This window comes from Homo sapiens, chromosome 7 (assembly GCF_000001405.40).
Source record: "Homo sapiens chromosome 7, GRCh38.p14 Primary Assembly".
NCBI classification, from domain to species: Eukaryota; Metazoa; Chordata; class Mammalia; order Primates; family Hominidae; genus Homo; species Homo sapiens.
This window is the reverse complement of record NC_000007.14, coordinates 42,672,367-42,694,038: the sequence shown is the minus strand read 5'-3', so window position 1 is coordinate 42,694,038 and position 21,672 is coordinate 42,672,367. Positions and strand designations below refer to the sequence as shown.

General features: G+C 40.4%; 1 long non-coding RNA gene across 1 annotated transcript in view, besides 1 other annotated feature; it reads left to right on the top strand.

Moving 5' to 3' along the window:
* LINC01448 (long intergenic non-protein coding RNA 1448) overlaps positions 1 to 21,672 on the top strand; it is a 44,722-nt gene that overhangs the window by 12,409 nt on the left and 10,641 nt on the right. Inside the window, exon 2 of the long non-coding RNA NR_110833.1 lies at positions 21,068 to 21,254. This is a non-coding gene — a long non-coding RNA (long intergenic non-protein coding RNA 1448). The remainder of the gene's footprint in view (positions 1 to 21,067; positions 21,255 to 21,672) is intronic.
* Positions 6,936 to 7,484: an enhancer, noted in NCBI's record as "OCT4-NANOG hESC enhancer chr7:42726154-42726702 (GRCh37/hg19 assembly coordinates)". NCBI's record gives its function as "activates a minimal SCP1, AML or CMV promoter by ChIP-STARR-seq in naive H9 embryonic stem cells {active_cell/tissue: H9 hESC(naive)}" and the evidence as "EXISTENCE:reporter gene assay evidence [ECO:0000049][PMID:30033119]".

The window sequence follows — 21,672 nt, the reverse complement described above, 5'->3', positions numbered from 1 at the left end:
GGGAATCACACCTGGAGGCTGAAGCTCCTGGCTGTGACTCCTAGGCTACGCATGCAGGGACATCTGAGGAGTGTGCGAACCCAGGCTGGGGCCTGAGGCCAGATCCGCTCCAAAACTTTGAGTGCGGTCCCAGGACAACCTCTTACTCAGTCCACATCTGTGGAGCTGTGAGGAAGTTTGGAAGCCTAATTCTCAGTTTCAGTCACTCCAGGGAGTTGGGCTGGGAGGGAAGGGGCAGACTGACTCTAAACCACCATGGATCAGCACAGGGATCCTGGCTGAATAGAACTCAGGATGGACTCTTACACAAAAATGTAATAAAGCCACCCAGCTCAAAATTTAGAGAAAGGAGCCAGATCTTCCAGTGGATTGTGATTGTGTGTTTTTTTATCTCAAAATTATGTCAGAGTTTATTATTCACTAATTATTTAAAATTTGGAAGGGAAATGTTCTATGCGATAGATCAGGACTATCCATTAGAAGTAAATAGGAATGGTCCTGTTACGTTTTATTTCTGGGGAGTTTGTGTCTCTTGCTGTCACAATTACAGTTTCCTTTATTGAGTGAAGGCATTGCTTCTGTGATTATGGTTGAGCTGGTAACTCATTAAGCTGCTCTTTATTGATGAACATCTCTGTGTAGATTTGTTCATTGGGTTGAGAGCTGGGCTACATAGGTGAAGGCAAGAGAGTAGCTCTCTTGTGAGTCAGACGAGGAAGGAGATCCATTCATTCCAGCATCCCCCAACTACTTGACGCCTGTTGCACTTGATGCCAGTCACTGGGAAAACGCACACCTTGCTGGAGACCACTGGGGCACCATGGTTATGGTCTCTTGAGCAGAGAAGGCTGGGGAAAGAAGAGACTAAAAACTGAGCTGAGAGGACCACGGACAAAGCTCACCTGCCTTCCAGGTGTATGCAGTGAGCAAACGGGGCAAGGAGCCGGCACTGAGAGGAAGCGCTGACATAAGGAAGATAATAAATGTTCTGAGATTTCAGCACCATCGGGAGCCTTGACACATGAATGCCAGGGCTTAGTTCTCTCTCTGATTCACATTTCTTCTTTGCTACAGGATCATTTGGTTCTTGAGCCTGTAGAATTACTGACTGATTCCTTTCTGGTCAGATTCTTTTTAGCTACACACAGACTCCTCTCTTGTAATGAAAATCAGGTTTCCTGTTACAGTTTGCTTTACATTTAGGGAACATGTTGCCGTCTGGAATGAGCAAGTGTTGCATTTGAGTCATATTTTCCACGCTGATGCTAAGCTTTCATGCTTCCTATGTCTGGTGCTGAAGGGGAGACTAGGAAATAAGAAACTGCAGCTAGGTCAGAAAATTTATATTTTACCCAAAGGGTTAATCGGCTTCTGGAGGGAACAAAGACATGGCGCTACTGTAGCTGCTTCCTGCGTACAAGAGAGTGAAGCGAAGACCATTCTAACTCAGCATCAAGGAGGGCTCCATGTGGGGTGGCCTCGGTCAGTGGGGACTGGATCCACCTCTTCGTGGTGCACACTTTGGGAGAAAAGCTTAAAGAAGTCATCTGATCTTCTGTATCTCTGAGAACCACATTGTGAGTTGCTGTCAAAGATTCAGAGCCCAGTTTTAGGTCCTCAGGGAAGCAAACTGCTACTGGGAGCTATTTTCTTCGGGGAGTTGTGTAAGTCAAAACAAGTGTTTGGGAAAAAGTCCAATAATCAGCAAATGACAAAGTTCCATGCCAATGTGAAAATTGTGTACACACTAACAAGACATTGTTTGTTACTAAAATGGTTAAATAAAATTTAAAAATAGTAATTTGGACTCATTTGACTAGAATTACTTCCTCTCCAAAAGCAAGGATAAAGTAAACCATGTTTGGGTGACTATAACATACACATGCACACACATGCAAATATGCACACAACACACACATACACACATATACATAAATGTATACAAAATACACACATACAGTCACATGCTCATACATGTACATACACAAAACAACACACACATATATGTACTTACACACATATGTGCACATATGCACACACAGACATATATGAAAGGCAGAATGGGGAGAAAGAATTTCAAAAGCCTGGTGCTACTTTGAACCTATCTTCTTAGGAAGAAGGCAAAATCATCTTTTAGTGAGGAAGATACCTTAAGATAATTACAAAAATAAGGCCACTTGGGTAGGCCTTAAATAGGAAAAGAGAATAATAAGAATTTGGCAATTTGCAGTATGAAGGAGAATCTCTTGAAGAGGAGAAAATCCTGGGAGATGGGAAGGGCAGGCCAGGAAAGAACTCCACTATGGTGTCAGATGGCCCCTGGGTTCTTTCTTTAGTAATGCCCAGAAGTGAACTTGGAATTATTTCCTGTCTGGTGCTATAGTTCCTCTCAGCTACCCCAAAAACCTTACATCCTATTCTCTTGTATTGAACTTTGTGAGGAATGAAGGAAGGAGTAAGAGCAATAGGAAGGAGGTTATCAGATGTAGAAGCAGAGAGCAGGGTGAGACTATGACAAAGCCCATTTCCCCAGGTGTATTTGAAAGTGACTCTGGACAGCAGGAGTGGGTCCGGGAAAGTAGGCGAGCGCTTGGGTTACTCCTGCACTCGTTAAGTTGCCTTCTTTTGAGTCAGGAAAATATTTCCAGCAGCCACTGTGTTGCTCTGTGGCCCTCCCACAGGCTTCCTCTTTGCCCTCTGTGAGAGGGCTGAAGAGGTAAACATCTACAGCATTAGAGATTTTCCTTGGCTTGAAGTGAGTCTGAATGTTCGTGTGGATGCGAAGAGGCATTTGACCCCTAGAGGGTGATCACACCATATGGTAAAGGAGAGGACACCAGGAAGGCAAAAACAGAGAAGAAAACCGCACTAAGTTCCTTGTGTCCATTCCAGCTGATGTGTAATGGTATGTATAGTACCCCCGTGGGTATGGCAACCTCTCTCTGGGTATATCTCCTGGATTGTAAGGCAGAGTCTACTCTGGACTTGGAGTTTGGTGCCTTCCTGATGCAAAAAGCAGGGAGCTGGTAAGCCCCAGTCCTTCTGGTCACTCACAAGAGGTTTGGGAATGAGACTGGGTGAGGACCGGGATTCCCTCTACTTCTGCTGGTGAGACCAGCAGTCTCTGATGAAAACTGACTTTTCTGCAGACGTTGTGACTGCAGCTAGGCAGACCATGCCTGCAGGAAGGAAAGTGGGCCACCTCAGGGTGACTTCGAGACTGAAAACTAGGAATTGGGAGCAATAAAATAAGGCAAAATCACCCTAATATAACTGACTCTTAGCAGAGCTTTGGTGCAGCTTCCTAGTGTTGTGAGGCCCAGGGTTGAAAATGGAGTGACCCCATCCAGTCTCCACAGGACACAACTTCCCCTCCAGCTCCTGCCTCCTTAAAAGCCTGCAGCTGGCCGGTGAAGCCAGCTTCCCTCTTCTAAGGTGTGAGCCCACAGGCTCTCCTTCAGCCCAGGCAGGCTGCAGGAAGTCCCCAGCATTCCCCAGGGGGACGTGGAGGCCAGAACAACGTGTACATATTCCACAGCCTGTCCCTAAAAACAGGTAAAACCCAGAGACAAACCAGAGCTTTTTCATGTGCACTTTTCAATGAGTTTTGACAAAATTATATACGTATATAACCATCATCACAATCAAGACACAGAACACTTCAATCACCCCCAAAACTTTCTTGTGCCCATTCCCAGTCAGTTCCGCCTAACTCCCATCTCCACACACCCTCTGGCTGGCTTTTCTATCACTATAGATTGCTTTGGGCCTTCCTAGAGTTTCGTACAAATGGCATCAGATAGTATGTACTCCTTTTGTATCTAGCTTGTGTCATTCTGCAAGTTTTTGAGGTTCATCCATGTTGTTCATTTCTTTTCATTGCTAGCTAGTATTCCCGTGTATGGATGTGTCATAATTCATGTATTTACATGCTGATGGGCATTAGATTGCTCCCAGTTTTTGACTAATATGATTATAGCTGCTGTGAGCATTCATGTACAAGTCTTCCTATAGACCAGTGTTTTGATTTCCCTTGAGTAAATAGCTAGGCATGGGATTGCCAGTTGTATGGAAAGTGTGTGTTTAACTTTGCAAGAAACTTTAAAACTTTTTTAATTGGTTGTATCATTTTATGTTCTGATCAACAATGTAGGAGAGTTCTCATTGCTCCATATCTTCTCCAATGCTTGGTATTGTTGATCTTTTTTATTTACTCATTCTAGGGAGTGTGAAGTGGTGTCTCATGGTGACTACTGACACTGAGCATTTCATCATGTGCTTATTAGTCACTTGATTATTTTCTTTTGTATAGTGTCCGTTCAAATATTTTCCTCATTCTTTGTTATGTTGTTTGTCTAATTTAGTTGTTGAGTTTTAAAAAATATATTGTGGCTTGCCTTTTCATTTTCTTAACAATATTTTCAAAAAGCAGAGTTTTTAATTTTCATGAAATCCAATTGTCATTATTTAATGGTTTGTGTCCTAAGAAATCTTTGATGCTCTCTACATGATGATTTTCTTCTGTATTTTCTTTTAGCAGTTTTATATATTAGTTCTTATGTTTAGGTTTATGATCCATTCTGAGTTAAATTTTATGTATGGTATGAGAATAAGGGTTGAGATTCCTTTTTAAAAATATGGATATATATTAAATAGTTGTTGCCACATCATTTGTAGGAAAAGCTATTATTTATCCCATGAATTGTCTTGGTGCCTTTGTTGAAAATCCATTGGCCATGCGTGTATGCATCTACTTCTGGACTCTCTGTTTTATTCCATTGATCTATGTCTTAGTGTATTTGGGATGCTGTAACAAATACCATAGGCTGGGTAGCTTAGAAGCAACAGAAATTTATTTCTCACAGTTCTGGAGTCTGGGAAGTCCAAGATCAAGGTGCTGGCAGGTTTGGCACCTGGTCCATCCCTCCTTATTTCTCAAGCCCCACCAATGTGAATTATAGCACAGGCCCACCTCTAAGGGAGAGAGAGATGATTCTAGGCAGTAAGTTCAGATTATGTTCCAGGTTGCTTCTGCCTAATAGATCTGTTTAATACATTTGTGACTATATATCTTCTTTCTCTGTAAACAATGACAGCTGCACTTAAAAATATCATTGACTGAATGGGACAATTCACCTGAGAGTTACACATATGAGATGCTCATACATAGTGAAATCATTACCGATCTCAAAACAGTTTTCTTAAGGGAAATCTTAAATAAAGAAATAAAGCAAGAGAGAGATAAAAGTAACATTCCATAAATATTATCTGCACTGTAATAGCTTCCATACATTGTTAACCCCATCCTTCCTGCTTCTACCTACTTGAAGCCCAGTCATGCCTGGATGTGTGTTGAAATAAATGTTAGCATGAAGCATCTGCTATATAAGTGGCAAAGGGGAAAGAAAAAAAATCTTTTTTTTTCACAACCAAAAACAACAACGACAACAAAAAGACTCTGCTTATGTGATTGAAGATAGATTTTATATACAAATTATCTCAGATTCAAGGAAGAAAATCAGAGAAACTTAACTGGAAAAAAGCTGGTACATGGCTTTAAAAAAAAAAAAATTTCTGATATTAGATTTCTTTACCTGCTGGACTATATCGACATTTTGCAAGTTCTACATTTGTCACTCCATTTTCAACCCATTTTGTAAAGTATGATAAAAACATGAGTGAATATTTACAAATTTTGTTTTGTTTTGCCTTATTTTGGGTCAGACTAGTGTTTAAACCTAAACGTCAGCCAATATGCTAAATACATCATGATACAATCACGAACAATTGCATGGATGCCTCCTGGTTTCCCTTGGGACACCTTTGTTCATGCCAAGAACTGTCTCTGTGTGGATGTAGATGAATTATTTTCTGGGAGTAAGAAGTGGAGAAAAGCAAAGGACATCTCCCTCATTTCTTTAACCTTGGGGATAAATCTGGTTTTGGCATCTCTCAGAGGGAAAGAATATCTTGACACATACATAAAGCTCTTGGAGAAAGCTTAGTGTCCATTGGCAAGAAAGGGCAAGATTCTGAATACATCTAAATAATCGGCATAGCATTAAAATGCCTGCCTATGGCAGACTGTGCACCAGGATATAAATCATGCTGCTTGCCACGTGCAGCACATCAGACATAGAGTATGACTCTGGCTCATCTAATAAAATGGCTTTTATGAAGTTTCTGTAGATAAATTAAAGCAGCATTGCTAAGAATTATTTTCACAATCCAATTTTGAGAACAGAGCCGAATGGGCAATGCTACATCTATAATGAAAACTAAGCGTCTGTTGAGATGCACGCAGGCAGGCAATTGATCAACGCATTAAGTGTGCAAGAAATCCACATGCTTCTCTGAAAAGTCAGGAGTGACTGGTGTGAATTTTGGCATTCATCCTAACTACTAAGATTTGTTCTCAATTTATTCTCAAATCACAAGGTACAAGACCCTCTTGGGGGCAATGATTATAAGGACTCTGCCTACCCTGGGGAGAAATTATGCCTCCGGAATAACTTCTTGTTCCCCAGGGTGTCATGTTTTGCTAAAATATTTCTAACGTTGAAGTTAGGGTTCCTTTGATATCTTCCCAGGAATTTTTCTCCAAATAGTTTAGGCCAAAAATAAAGCAAAAGGCATCTTACTTTTCTTCTCCTCATGTTATCTAGAGGATAATTTTCTATGCTTCCCTCCAAGTGAATCTGGCTCTGAATCCAAGAAAGAGGATTGCTCTTTTCCTGAAAGTCCATTATGGCCAACACAACTTGAGCCTGTGTAACGGGGACAGAAGTGTGGAAGATCCCCCAGGAGGTAAAGTGGGAGTCAAGCAGGCAGTGTTTAAAAGACTCCCAGTTACCTGTATGGTAGGTTCCGCTCTGTCCTGATCTGAACATGATTTTTCTTAGTGATGTTATTCAAGGGTCAAATTCCTAGGTTCTTCAGTGTATATAAATCTACTACGTGTAACTAGTCTGCAACAGAAGGCACATCGCCGTATATAGAATGTCAGAGAGGCTTCTCTTTGATGAAAAAAAAGTTAAATGTTTATACAAAATTCTGTTGGTCTGGATACCATTAACTTTCAACGATTAATAAAAGTGACACTAGGACACAATAAATTCTAGTTTTCAAAGAAACAATTTGACTTTATACATTGCTTCTGCCTCACTGGTGTTTGAGATGAAAGGGACAGTAATTGAAATGAAACTCATCAGCATTAAAGAAGGCCTCATGGAGAGAAGCCGAGGGGGGCAGCGGTAAAGAAGCCTGTGGAATCCTGAGGCACCGGCAGGAATTTACGGGTCTGAGAGGCAGCCATGGGGACACGAATCTACTTAGGAGCAAGACCAGGGCCTGGTGAAACTATTTTAAGTTTTTAAAAGTTGAAAGAATAAGCAAGGGGCGAGTTAAACACATTTCGTGTGTTACCTTCCTTTGTTCCGGCTCTATTTAAAAAATCCTTATACTTTGACTAGACAGGTTTCTAGAAACTGACTTTAGAAGCTAATGGAAAAATAGATATAATATGCAAATAAGGAATAAACACGTAGCTGACATGGTCCTAAGCTATCTTGCCATTCTGGGGCCCTTCTTTTGAAATCTAAATAGGTCTAATAGCTAACATTTGTCAAGTGCTTGGCGTACGCCATGTGCTCTTCTCAGTGCTCTCTGCACCTCCTATCATTCATTCTTTACTGGAACCTCTCTGATCTTCCATATCTAATCTTACCTTCTCCTCCCCTCTCCCCCCAGTCCATTCTCCACTGAGTATTTGAAACGATCGTTTCAAAGCAAATCTAATTTTGTCATTCCCTTGTTCTCAACCTTTCAATCACTTCCCATTACTCTCAGGAACATATGCCAGGTTTTTTATTTGGCCTCCAGGGTGCTGTCTGCTCTCCTGGCACTGTGCTTCCCGCTGTTTTGGGACTGTGGAGCGCTGGCCTTCTTTCCTTTTGTGATGTGCTCACACTCCCCACCCCACACATGCACACAGGGCCATTGCCTACGCTGGACCGCTCCTAGGCTACTCTGCTGTGATGAGCTCCCACGTGTTGCTCAAATGCTGTGTCCTGGGGAGGATGATCCCAACTCCTCTTATGAGGTCCATCCCACATCGCACGTTCTCACTGTACCTGTAACTCCTGGGTTGACCTCATCATAGTGGTAATTGTTCATTTGGAGGGTGACCCTTTGCTTCATGCACGTCTTTTCTACTAGACCGGAATTGCTATAAGGGGAAGGGTCACTTCTATTTTCATTTCAAACAATTTCCTCAGCCCCCATCACAATACCTGGCATAGAAAAGGTGCTCTATTCAGACTGACTGATAGAGTAGATGGATGGATGCTGCATAAAACCAAAGACCAACCTGACTTGCCTTAACACGGGGGACTTATGATCCAGGGAACCAATTGTTCACATAGGAAGAAGAACGTGTACATCAAGCTGATTTACTCTTAAGAGGCTACCTTTGTTTTTTACTTTTTTTTGGAACTCAGTCAGCAGTGAGCAGGTGGGGTTAGAGTCTGCATCCCATAAGCTACATTTTCTTGAAGGCTCACATTGGTTACATAACCCTTTCTCCCTTCACAATATTTCAGTCATCCTCTACTTCACCTCCCTGTCTTTACTATAATTGCATCCCTCCTGTAATTTTTTATGCAAAAGCTCCTTTGTTTTGAAGCTCGTATTCAATTTCAATGGCTTTCCCCCTTCCTGCTGCTTCATTACATTCCTTGAAGTTGGAGGTGCCCGATTCATAGTCTTCCTCGTTAACTAAATTTCTTCTATTATCTGGGAGATTTTGATCTTCATGAAACTCATTCATGCTAAGCACTGTTCTTACAATTTCCCTCATCCACCACCACCAGAGCTACTCCAGGCATCACTCCACTGCATTCTCACACACCTCTCACTCCAACTCACACTCACTCCTCTTGCATCAACCTTCTAACCACACATTTCCAGCCCCCTCTTTCCTTCACTCCTAGTAGTCAGCACCCTGTACTCTCTCTAGACCCTCATCTCTCTAGAAAGCCTGTCCTGAAAATTTCCCAAGTCTGGATCAATCCCCAAACTGATCCAGAGGAGGTCGTCCCCACTCCTGTATCTGAGCTCTCCTGGAGAAGCCCCACACCTGTGTGGATCAGTGTCATGGCACATCGGTGGTCTGCAGCAGCAGCTGAGCCCACAGTTCTGTTTGGAATGTCTTTCTCCTCTCCTTGGAAGCAACCTGTAGCAGCAAGCAAGGCTTCACCATGCTCCTCTCTCCCCTGCCTAGTCCTCACCAGCACCCTACACAAATGGCCTAGCCTCCAACTGTATCAAGGAAATGAAAGGGAAATGATGTGAATGGCTTCATCATTCATCTCCCTTTCATCTTCAAATTTGTGTGCAACCACATCAATCCCTCTAGCTGCCTGAATCCCATAGAGTGGAATATCCTCTCTGTTGATTAAGGACAGCCTCCTTCACCTCTGCTTTTGATCAAATCTCCTCCTACTAGCATTTTGCCACCCTAAACCGTTCCCTATTTACTCTGCTTCAGCCTCTTTAATGTATCGGCAAGCTGGCGGCAATGCCCACAGGGACTCATGTCTTGCGCTGCTCTGGAATTCCCCAGTCTTACCTCCCTCTGCCTCTATCTTCAGCCTCATGGTTTCTCGATTCCTTTCTTCATTTAGCACCCTTAGGTAGTCGGCATGCTTTCGGATATCTGGCCATTGTTCTCGTCTTTTATTGCTTCAGGACACTATTTCTAGAATCCATGATTTAGTTCCATGCATAGTACCCTCAAGCACTAGAATCTGTCAACATGCAGAAATCCTGAAACTGACCTAGCTAGGTGCAGGCCTTTGAGCTTCCCTCCTCCCAAACTGAAAAAGAATGGAAGTTTGAGACACTTGCATTGTAAGAAATGCTGTCTTCCCTTTGAATGCTGTCTCTTCTTCTTCTTCAAACTTCCAAAATAGAGTCTACATACATGATCTACATGTATATTTGATTAACTAATCATGGGTTGATCTCATCAAATGTGAATGTAATATGCAATTTGCTTATGAGCAAAAATGGGTGTGCAGGGAGGAATAAAGGTATGAATAAAGGAAGAAATAAACAATTTAAAATCAACACTTAGACACAAAGTCATGATATGCGGGCTATAATTTATTACTCTTATTTTCTAAATCCATAAGGTAGAATCAAAACTGGGAAATTTCAGAATATAAACATTTCCTATTATACTTTCTTAAAACACAGGATGAATTAAAAGGCATATGTTCTTAAGAATATGATAAATCTATGTCCTGGAAAAATATATGCTTGACAAATAAGGCAAATAAGAGTAGGCAAAAAGTTCTCATCTAGTGAGCTGGGCATCCTGGTTTATTACGTAACTTCTAAGTGCCACAGTTTCTCATCTGTAATGAAATCTCCCAGGATCTCTTCAAGACTGAAATTCTGTATTACCTGTCTTCATCTTCATAGACCCAAGACTTATAAAGCACTTGTCTAACTCTTAATTTCATATGCATTTTAGATTTACATGTAATAAAAATTTGATATCTCCTCAATGATCAGATAAATTAAAAGAAAGAGAGAGAATTTGTTAGAAAAATTATTTGCCTGAGGAGCCAGCTCACTGTCCAAAATCACATCCATGTGTCCTGGCAGTAGGCTTGGGACTGCAGGAGAGCATTCTCAATTCCAGAGATCACTCTTGCTACTGTGAGAACAGACACAGTCTAGAGGGGTCTCTCTCATTCTGCAATTAGTGCTGCCATTTTTTTTTCAAGTACATAGTTGAAACCTACTGATTGTATCTTCTTTTCTCTATGCATCTAAAATTTCCCCAGACTTCCTAGGAAGAATATGCAAATCTGCAGTGGGGGATGAGAGTGTTGGCAGTGTAGGGTGAAGGGAATAATGAGTGAGGCACAGACTGGAAAGGATACTGATTCCAGATCTCTGGGGGTCCCAGTGTCCTCTCTCCAGACCCTTCACCCTGAGAGAGAGGTGTGTCCTGTCTCTCAGCTTTCTGTGCAGTTCTTGTGGGTCCTGACTTCAGTAAAGCCCTCTGTAAGTTTTCTACAATTTCTAGGGGATTGAAAGATTTATGTTGATGTTTTATTTTGTTTCTTTTCCTAACCCCTCAAACATGTTTCTAGAGAACAAGTTCCCAGATATTTGCGTATCATGCCTTAAAATTGAGGACATAGTTTGCTTCACTACAATAATTTTTAAAAATCCTACTAAACCACAATCTAGAATTACCATTATTTTATTTAATACTGAACATTATAACACTAAAAAGGTAAAATAGAGAGACAGCCACATCTTATGCCATAGTATTATGTCTACTACCAGAGTTGGGAAGTTTACATGTATGTATTTGAAAACACAATATTATAGTTACTTTTCTCATTTTGTCTTCAACCAGTTAAAGTTTGACCACAAAATGGCACCAGTCATCCATGTTGGGATTGCTCTCTTAGGGATGATTCCTACTTGCAAACTGATGGCTCTTTTATCTACATTTTTAGTAACACTTCTTTGTTAGTAAACCCTCAGAAAGATCTGATCTGTCCTTTCTCTCAGTGGATGTGTGTTGAACATGTTTAGCATAGCAGGTGCTATATTGCATTGTGTGTTCTTCTCTCACACATACTGGAAGAGCAGGGACACTTTTGTGGTCTACAAAGAAGAGGGTTTGACTGGTTTCACTGGGAGCTGGTCTCTTGTTTGCCCAAAGAGGATATCACTGTCCACACACATGTCCAGTGATCATGGCTGCTGATTCATTACCCCCAAAGGGGAGCCAGAAAAAAATAGTTTAAACAAGAGTTATTTTTTCCAAGTCAAATGGATAAAATTTTTAGAATAAATACAAGAGCAATAATTTTCTTTTTAAAAAATTATTTTTGATTGGCACAATAATTGCACATATTTATGGGGCACATAGTGATATTCTATAAAACACTAGAATTTATTCCTCCTGTCTAGCTGTAATTCTGTGCCCTTTAACAAATCTCTCCTTATCCTCTCTTCCCTCCTACTCTTCCCAGCCTCTAATATGCTCTGTTCTACTTTTTACTTCTATGAAATTAATTTTTTAAAGCTTCTACATATTAGTGAGAACATGCAGTATTTAACTTTGTGTTCCTGGCTTGTTTTACTTAGTACAATGTCCTCCAGTTTCATCCACGTTGCAGTAAATAACAGAATTTTATTCTTTTTTATGGCTGAATAGTAGTCCATTGTGTATATATACCATATTTTCTTTATGCATCTGTTGTTGGACACTTGGGTTGATTCCATGTCTTGACTATTGTGAACAGTGCTGCAATCAACATGGGGCTGCAGACCTGTCTTTGATATACTGATTTCCTTTCGTTTGGATAAATGGCCAGTGGTGGGATTGCTGGATCATACGGTAGTTTTATTTGTAGTTTTCTGGGGAACCTCCACACTGTTCTCCATAAGGGTTATACTAGTTTACATTTGCACCAGTGGTGTATAAGAGTTTCCTTTTCTCTGCATCCTCACCAGTATTTATTATTTTTGTATTTTTGACAATAGCAATTTTATCTGAGATGAGATGATATCTCATTGTAGTTTTGATTTGCATTTCCCTGATGATTAATGATGTTGAACATTTTTACATATATTTGTTGAAAATTTCTGTATTTTGAGAAATATCTGTTCATATCATTTTCCCATTTTTAAATCAGGCTTTTCTTTAGTTTTTTTTTTTTTCTGTTGAGATGTTTGAGTTGCTTGTATAATCTTGAATATTAATTCCTTGTCAGATGAATAGTTGCAAATATTTTCTATTTTGTAGGTTGTCCATTCACTCTGTTGATTGTTTTCTATGTTGTTTAAAAGCTTTTTCATTTGATATAATTTCATTTGTTTATTTTTGCCGTAGTTGCCTGTGCTTTTGAGATTTTATTTATAAAATATTTTCCCAGACAAATGTCTTGAAGCATTTCCCCCATGTTTTCTTCTAGTAGCTTTATAGTTTCAGGTCTTACATCTAGTCCTTGGATTCATTCCGAGTTGACTTTTGTATAGGGTGAAACGTGAGCATCTAGTTTCATTCTTTGAATATGGATATCCAGTTTCCCCAGGACCATTTATTGACGAGGCTGTCCTTTTCCCAGTGAGTGTTCTTGGTGCCTTTGTCAAAAATTAGTTGGCTGCAAATCTGTGGATTAATCTCTGAAATCTCTATTCTGTTCCATTGACCTGTGTGTCTGTTTTTATGCTAGTGCCATGCTGTTTTGGCTACTCTAACTTTGTAGTATGTTTTGAAGAATAGTAATGTGATACCTTCAGCTTTGTTCTTTTTGCTCAGAATTACTTTGGCTATTCAGGGTCTTTTTTGGTTCCATACAAATTTTAGTATTATGTTTCTCTATTTCTGTGGTATTTTGGTAGGGACTGCATTGAATCTGAAGATCACTTTAGTTAGTATGGCCATTTTAACAATATTAATTCTTCCAGCTCACGAATATGGATGTCTTTCTATTTTTTTGTGTTTTCTTCAATTTCTTTCATCGGTGTTTTATAGTTTTCCTTGTAGATATCTGTCATCTCCTTGGTTAAATTCTTTTTCTAGATATTTTATTATTTTTGTAGTTATTGTAAATGGAGTTGCTTTCTTGATTTTTTTTTTCAGCTAGTTTGTTGTCTCTATATAGAAATGCCACTGATTTTTGTTGTTGATTTTGTATCCTGCAACTTTACTGATTTCGTTTATCAGTTCTGAGTTTTTTGGTAGAGTCTTTAGATTTTTCTATGTATAAGATCATTTATCTGCAAGCAGGAACATTTTGACTTCCTCTTCTCCAATTTGGATGTCCTTTATTTCTTTCTCTTGCCTAACTGCTCTGGCTAGGACTTCTAGTACTATACTGAATAAGAGTGGTAAGATTTTGTTCTCATTCTGTATGATTTTAGTTTGTTATATGTGGCCCTCATTATGTTGAGGTACTTTCCTTCTATACCTAATTTATTGAAGGTTTTTACTATGAAGGGATGTTGAATTTTGTCAAGTGCTTTTTCTGCAGCTGTTGAGATGATCATATAATTTTTGTCCTTATAATTCTGCTGATGTGATGTATCGTGTTTATTGATTTGCTTATGTTGAAACATCCTTACATCCATAGGATGAATTCTACTTGATCATTGTGTGTGATCTTTTTGATGTGCTGTTGGATTCAGTTTGCTAGTATTTTGTTGAGAATTTTTGTCTCTATGTTCACTAGGGATATTGGTCTAGAGTTTTCTTTCATTTTCGTGTCCTTGTCTGGTTTTGGTATCAAAGTTACACTGGCCTCCTAGAATAGAAGAATTTGTATTAATTCTTTAAGAGTTCAGTAGAATTCAGCTACGAAGTCATCCAGTCCTGGACTTTTCTTTGTTGGGAAGTTTTTATTACTGGTTCAATCTCATTACTTGTTTTTGGTCTGTTCAGTCTTGCTATTTCTTCTTGGTTCAATATTGGCAGGTTGTATGTGTCCAGGAATTTAGCCATTTCCTCTAGGTTTTTAAATATATTGGCATATAATTGTTCATAATAGAGATTAATAAGTTTTGAAACTGAATTTTTCTGTGCTCTGTATCTGATTTCTAATGAGAATAGATACATTACAGTATTTTGAAACTGAGTCCTTCTGTGTTCTTTATCTGATTTCTAATGAGAGTAGATACATTACAGTATCTAAATGTTTTAAAATCTAATAATTTTACGACTAATGTAGGAGGTAGGAGTAGGGAAACAAAGTTTGTCTGGCAGTATGATTGATTATTGTTGAATTTTTGGTGAGGAAATAGACCCCAGACCTTGATCTAGAGGGAGGAAGAGTAAGACAAAGAGCACTATATTGGTTGCCGATTAAAACAAGGAGCATTTAAATTTTTCATGGTAACTTAAGAAGGAAAGAGTGAGAGGGCTCTGGATGAACAGGAAGCAGGGCCAGCTGCATGGAAGGCTGTAGAAGGCAGGGGTCAGCCAGTGAGATGCTTCCCGGGGGGAAATGGCCAGGAGACTTCTAGGATCAGGAGGGTCGCATATGGACTAATAGGCAGTGTTCAGTCATATGCTCCTTTACCTCTGACTCCTTAATAAATTTTGTTAAAACTACCCAAAGATGGTAGTTTTATCAAAATTAAAGTTGTTTAAGTTAAGAACTTTAACATTAAAGTTGATTAACAGTTTTAATCATGGAAAAGCATCCATGTTTTCACATTTCGTTTGATGCAGAGTGGAGAGAAATAGCAGATGTAAGCATTGAGAATCCAAGTGAAAGATAGTTAAACAGAAGGAGGATATTAGAAGAGGGAGTAACTGTGAGAAATGGAAAGTCCCTGAGATTCCTGAGAAATGCAGGGAGTTGACTAAGTGAGGGATGGGGAATAAACTCATTTTTATTTTAACATTAAAGAGAAGAGTGCTCTCATAAGATGGAAGTCTTGGAAACACCCACACAGCAGATTCTTGGGTTGCACTAGCAAATACATCTGACACTTTTACAAATGGCAACTTCTCCTGACTTGTTACTGACAAGTTGAGCAATGTCTTCAACTTTATAGCGTAAACAGAACTGGGAATCCTGCCTATAACATCCAACATCCTCATGTCATGGGAGGATCATGGTAGAGTTATTCTCAGCACCCAGAATTCTACATAGGAAAATGATTATAAGGGTAAGCCATATTCAAAATAATCTGGTTTTAGTGCCTAAGCCCACAAAGCTGCATTATATAAAATATTGCTTCCTTTAAAATGATGGTCTTGAGAAAACAACATCAAACAGAACTTTCTGAGATCAAGAACAGGAAATGAATGATTCAGCAGGCTGGATATCACCCAAAGAGCTGTCTTCACAGCTGTAAGGAATAGCTGCAAAAAGTTCCAGGGGATTGCCTGGTACCATTTGAAGGCAGTCAGGCTGGGAACCACAGAGAGCTCCACGGAGTGTGGTGAAGGATAATTAGACAGTCCAGCTTCGACTCCCCAGAAATATGTCAGCCTGGTGCCACTGCTTTCTTGACTATCTTCTAACTGCCTCTGAGTCCACATTTGGAGATGCTCCAGGGTGACTCAGGACTTGAGAGAGAGCAAGCATCATCCATGGCAGGAAAGTCAAGGTGTTTGTTCTGCTCTAAGAGCCTGAAAGGATGATTTATCATGGAAGCTGACACTGCTGCACTGTTTTTCAAAATCTAATATAGTGCTGGTTATCTGGCAAGGACTGCCTTTGGGCAGAGCTTGGGTGAGAGTGCAGTTAGTGCTGATTCATTTGTGTGATCTCTCTCTCTCTCTCTCGTGCTCTCTCTCTCATATTAAAGTACAATTAGCAAGCACCCAGATTTTGACTGCTATCATCCAATGCCTGCCCAGTGATTCTCACCTGTACAACACTGCTGACTCTGTGGAGTATATTATGCAGGAAATTGCCCAGGCATTAATATTTGAGACCTGACATTGGAAAAGAGTAGTAGCCCTCAAGTGTGTCTTCTTGAACACATTGTGCCTTGCTTTAGCAGAACAGCAAAGCCCATCTACATCCTATAAGCATTTCCACTACTTAGTCCTGATACGTGTTCCACAAAGCCTTCTTCATCTTCTCCATCTTTCTAAAACATGTTTTTTCATCATGTCACTCTTTTGCTCAAAAATCTTCAGATGTATCTGCAGTATCTTTATAGTACCAGATAGGTTTTTTTCTGAGTCTTATCTTTGTTCTGTTGTGTTTTATGCATCTCTGCAGCTGCATACAACCTTTTTGAGATGAGCTGGGGTATACATGTAAGGAATACATGTAAGGACACATACATGCCTCATATGTAATAAGACATCCATTAGACTTTTTCTGTCATCTAACACTTCCGTTGAAGGCCCCAGGCTGAGGACAAGGATTGAAAAGTACTTCATATTCTTCCAAATGCGCATATCTTCCCCAGGAATTGTTAAGAGATAGCCAAAGTAGTCTTACAAGTCCCTGTTCCACTGTCAAATATTTATAGAAAGAGAAGAGTATAAATGTTAAGGGGAGTTAAATGTAGTGGAGGAAGTTTTAGCAGTTTTCATGTTGCATTGTTGCCTAAGTGGGGACTGCCCAGCATTTCCCGTCCCTCAAACCAGATGAGAAGGGCTCTAAGAAAACTGTGGATGGAAATTGTGGTTGCTGAGAGAAAAGAAGCCTGCATTTCCCTCCACAGTGAGGTGATTTGCTGAGCTATGGTGTCTGCAGGCCTTCCCCAGGGCTTCCAGTCCAGCAGAAGGAAGATTGGTGAGGGAGTTCTCAGGATAATTTTGTGTGTCTCTGAAAACTTGTGGTGTTTGTGAGTGTGGACAGCAATGCTCACTTCTGACCTGGAGAGTCCTGATGGCAGGAAGCTGGATTGAGCAGGTGCAATTGCAGGGTAAGGACAAAGGTCAGGTGCATGGCAAGGATGCTTGAATTTTTCAAAGTGCACAGACATGGGAGAAGAGAACCAGCCTAAAGGCTTTTTAAAGGTACCCTTATGAAGAGGACTAGCTTTGGGCTCCATGCCAGCTGTGAGCATCTTTGTCAGGAGTACTTCTAGGGACAGGTGCTTGTGGATGGTCACAGAGGAGAGCTGGAGAGCACATTAGCTACATTAGTCTGCACATGGCTTCTAGAGAGGTGGCACATGCACCCCATGAGAGATGCCACTTTAGGCCAGCCCATGGTGACCAAAAGAACTACATCAGCAGGAACTGTTAAATAATATAAACTAAAAACATTTCCTCCACCCCATTCTCAATACCTGAGAGGGACCATGGCATCTGACTCAGATGTTGCTAAGGGAAGGGAGGGGTTGTATAGCATATTTAAGGTGCTGGAGGAAAAAATAAAACTGTTTGTTGTTTTTACTCCAATGAGTTTAGTCTGTGCAATAAGCATTTTACTTGTATATATATATATATGCACGCAACAAAGCTAAGAGTTTTATTATTTTTAGAAATTAATTCAATAAACACTTTGCAGATCTAATATATCTTAGCAAGATGCATGGCACTTATGATATAGAAAGAAATAATTAACACTTCTTTCTTTAAGGCATTTCTATGAGGAAGTATACATATATTTTTGTAGTCATAAAATCATGTGAATAGGCTGGGCATGGTGGCTCATGATGGTAATCCCAATTCTTTGAGAGACCAAGGCAGGAGAATTGCTTGAGGCCAGGAGTTTAAGACCAGTCTGGACAACATGGTGATACCCTGTCTCTACACAACATAAAATTTAAAAATCAGCTGAGTGTGGTGATGCATATCTGCAGCTACTCAGGAGGGAGGATTACTTGCCTAGGAGTCTGGGGCTACAGTGAGCTATGATTGTGCCATTGGACTCCAGCCTGAGTGACAGAGCAAAACTCTGTCTCTAAAAAGAATAATAATAAACAATAAAAATTATTTAAAAAACAAATAGAGTACAATATATATTATCATTTAACAGATTTATTGCTTACTTACTTTTTATAGTTTGCACTAAGCAGGCTGAAATATAGTGTATGGGAATGCAGAGTGACGAGCATCCAATGGGTATTCCTTGCTCTGATGACTTGGCCACGACTGAATTGAGTTTTATTTATCACTACTTCTTCAAAAATCTACTTCTTTGCTATTCTACAGAAGAAAATGTGTGCTTCTCTCTCTCCTTGTTTTACTCACTTATTGACTTGTGCTATGGTCTGAATATATGCATCTCCCTAAAATTCATAAATTTGTATGTTGAAATGTTAATGCCCAAGGACATGATATTAGAAGGTGGGGGCCTTTGGGGAAATGATTAGGTCATGGGATTGGTGCCCTTATAAAAGAAGCCCAGAGGGCTCCCTTGCCGGTTCCACTATGTGAGGACACAGTGAAGAGATGGCTGCCTTTGAACCAGGAAGCGGGTCCTCACTGGACACCAAATCTGCTAGCACCTTGATTATGGACTTCCCAACCTCCAGAACTGTGAGAAATAAATATGCCTCGTTTGCAAAAGTTGATAGATGAGTTATAAAACCAATTTACCAAACTACCATGTTAATGGCTGAGTAAAGTTTTGAATCGTTTTAGTAGAATCCCCAATGGATCCAAGTTTATGGGCAGAAGGCCAAATGTCTGTGTTTTATTCCCCAGCTTAGATTTCTGGGGGTTTCTAAATAATGTCAGTCCTTTTCAGTGGTGTCATCTTTTCTAGGGAAGGTCTGGGCTCTAGAAATGCCCTGTGTGCTGCTTGCTGGGGATTTATGGCTGAGTGTCTCTGGTGGATTCAGGCCATCCTTTCTGGGAATTTTGGCAGCATTTGCAACTGCATTCCTGCAGCATAGCCTACTGTATAGCTCCTGTCCTAGGACCTGTCATCTGTCTTCATGGTTTCTCAAGTATTATGTTCTCCTCTTTTTGATTGAATTTTTTGTTTTCCCAAGGCACATTCTTTAGTAGCTTTTAAAGAATAGGTACATGAAAAGCACATTCTCTAAATCCTTGCAGGTATGAAATTTCTATTTTGCATGTACACTTTATGAATAGTTTGAAGGATTTAGTTGTTCTTGTTGAATGTAGTTCATCCATCATAACATTTATCCTTTTAAGTTGTGCCATTCAGTGGTTTTAGTGCATTCACAAAGCTGTGCACTCATCACCACTATCTAATTCCAGAACATTTTCATGATTGACTGGGTACTTAATTTTAGGTATTTATGTATCCAATCTCCTATAAAAAATGGAATTGGGAGTAAGGACGACACATCATATACCTAGTGCTAGGCAAAAGCAGTTGTTCATGTACGTAAACATAAATGGAACTCTAGAGACTGCCACTGGGCTTGATGAAGTAACAGGCTATTTTGGGAAAGCCTGTGTGGTTAGTGTCAGGCCTCTGAGCCCAAGCTAAGCCATGGTATCCCTTGTGACGTGCACGTATACGTCCAGATGGCCCAAAGCAAGTAAAGAATCACAAAAGAAGTGAAAATGGCCAGTTCCTGCCTTAACTGATGACATTCCACCACAAAAAAAGTGAAAATGGCCGGTCCCTGCCTTAACTGATGACATTACCTTGTGAAATTCCTTCTCCTGGCTCGAAAGCTCCCCCACTGAGCACCTTATGACCCCCACCCCTGCCAGCCAGAGAACAACCCCCTTTGACTATAATTTTCCACTACCTACCCAAATCTTATAAGACGACCCCTCCCCTATCTCCCTTCACTGACTCCGTTTCGGACTCAGCCCGCCTGCACCCAGGTGATTAAAAAGCTTTATTGCTCACACAAGCCTGTTTGGTGGTCTCTTCACATGGACGTGAGTGAAAGTCAGGATCTGTGGGCAACCTACAGGAGCTGAGGGAGCCTCCAACTAATACCAGCAAGATGCTGGGACCCTCAGTCTTAAAACTGCAAGGAAATTAATCTGCCAACAGTCTGAGTGAACTTGGAAGCAGATTCTTCCCTAGTGGAGCCTCCAGGTGAAAACACAGCTCAGGCAATCTCTTGATTACAGCCTTGTGAGATTCTAAGCAGGAAATTCACCTAAGCTGTGTCCAGAATCCTGACCCACAGAAACTGTTTCCAGAATACCGACCCACAGAATCTGTGAGATAATAAATGTGTGTTACTTTAAGCTGCTAAGTTTCGTGGTAATATATTACATAGCAACAGAAAACTAATACATTTGACCTCAACATCTTCCTATTGTTCATTTTAGTGATTGTTCCAGCATGGGGCAGCCAACCTTCATTCAGCATTTGTCAGCACCAAGAATGGGGCCTTCAAATTGAAGGAAAGGCCCTAAGATGTTATAAATTTACTCCAGCTTTTGAAGAAGTCATTATTCTTCACATTCCTTTGAGGACAATAGTTTGGAAGTCCAAAAGCAAATCTGCAAGGTCTTGACATGATGAATGTCTTCATGAGTCTTCCCTACCATAGGCAAAGAGCTGAGGAATACGGAGCTGATACCAGCATTGCCATTGCTAGGACTGAAAATATGAAAGAGGCAGAAGGTATCATTTGTTGCAATCCCATATTTGTTTGTTTGTTTTGATAGATGAGGAGACTGAAGCCCACAGAGATCTGATAGAAAACAGCTGGATGTGCTAACAGAGCATCAGACTTGGAATCAGGTGGATCCTAGATTGGCTACTTCCTAACCTCAGAAAAGTGACATAATGTCTATGGTGAAGTCATCCATCTGAAACACAATGCAGTGAAATCCACTTTAAATTTTGATTGTGGTGAGTAATTAGCAACATGTAAAGCATTTAGGATGAGGTGGCATTTAGTACACGCTCAAGTTTCTTCCTAAACTTCCTGTTTTCACTTGCTCATGGTCACAAAGTTAGTTACACCTAGAGGTAAAACGACTCCAAAGTTGTTTTTTTGTTTGTTTGCTTGCTTAACTTTTCCATCCTAATTCCTGCAGTGCTTCTCCTGGAGGAGTCTGCCCAGTCCTGACCCAGGCTGCTGTGCAGCACAGCTAATGCTAGTGCTGAATGTCAGCCACCCACCTGACTCTGGGGCCAAACCTGCACCCTGAGCTTTGGAGCCAAGCAGGAAACAAATATCCAGGGGAATGAAGTGTAGGATTTCATTTATTTATTGGAATTTGCTTTTCTGTATTAAGTTCTGCTGTTATCAGTCTTGCAGGAATCT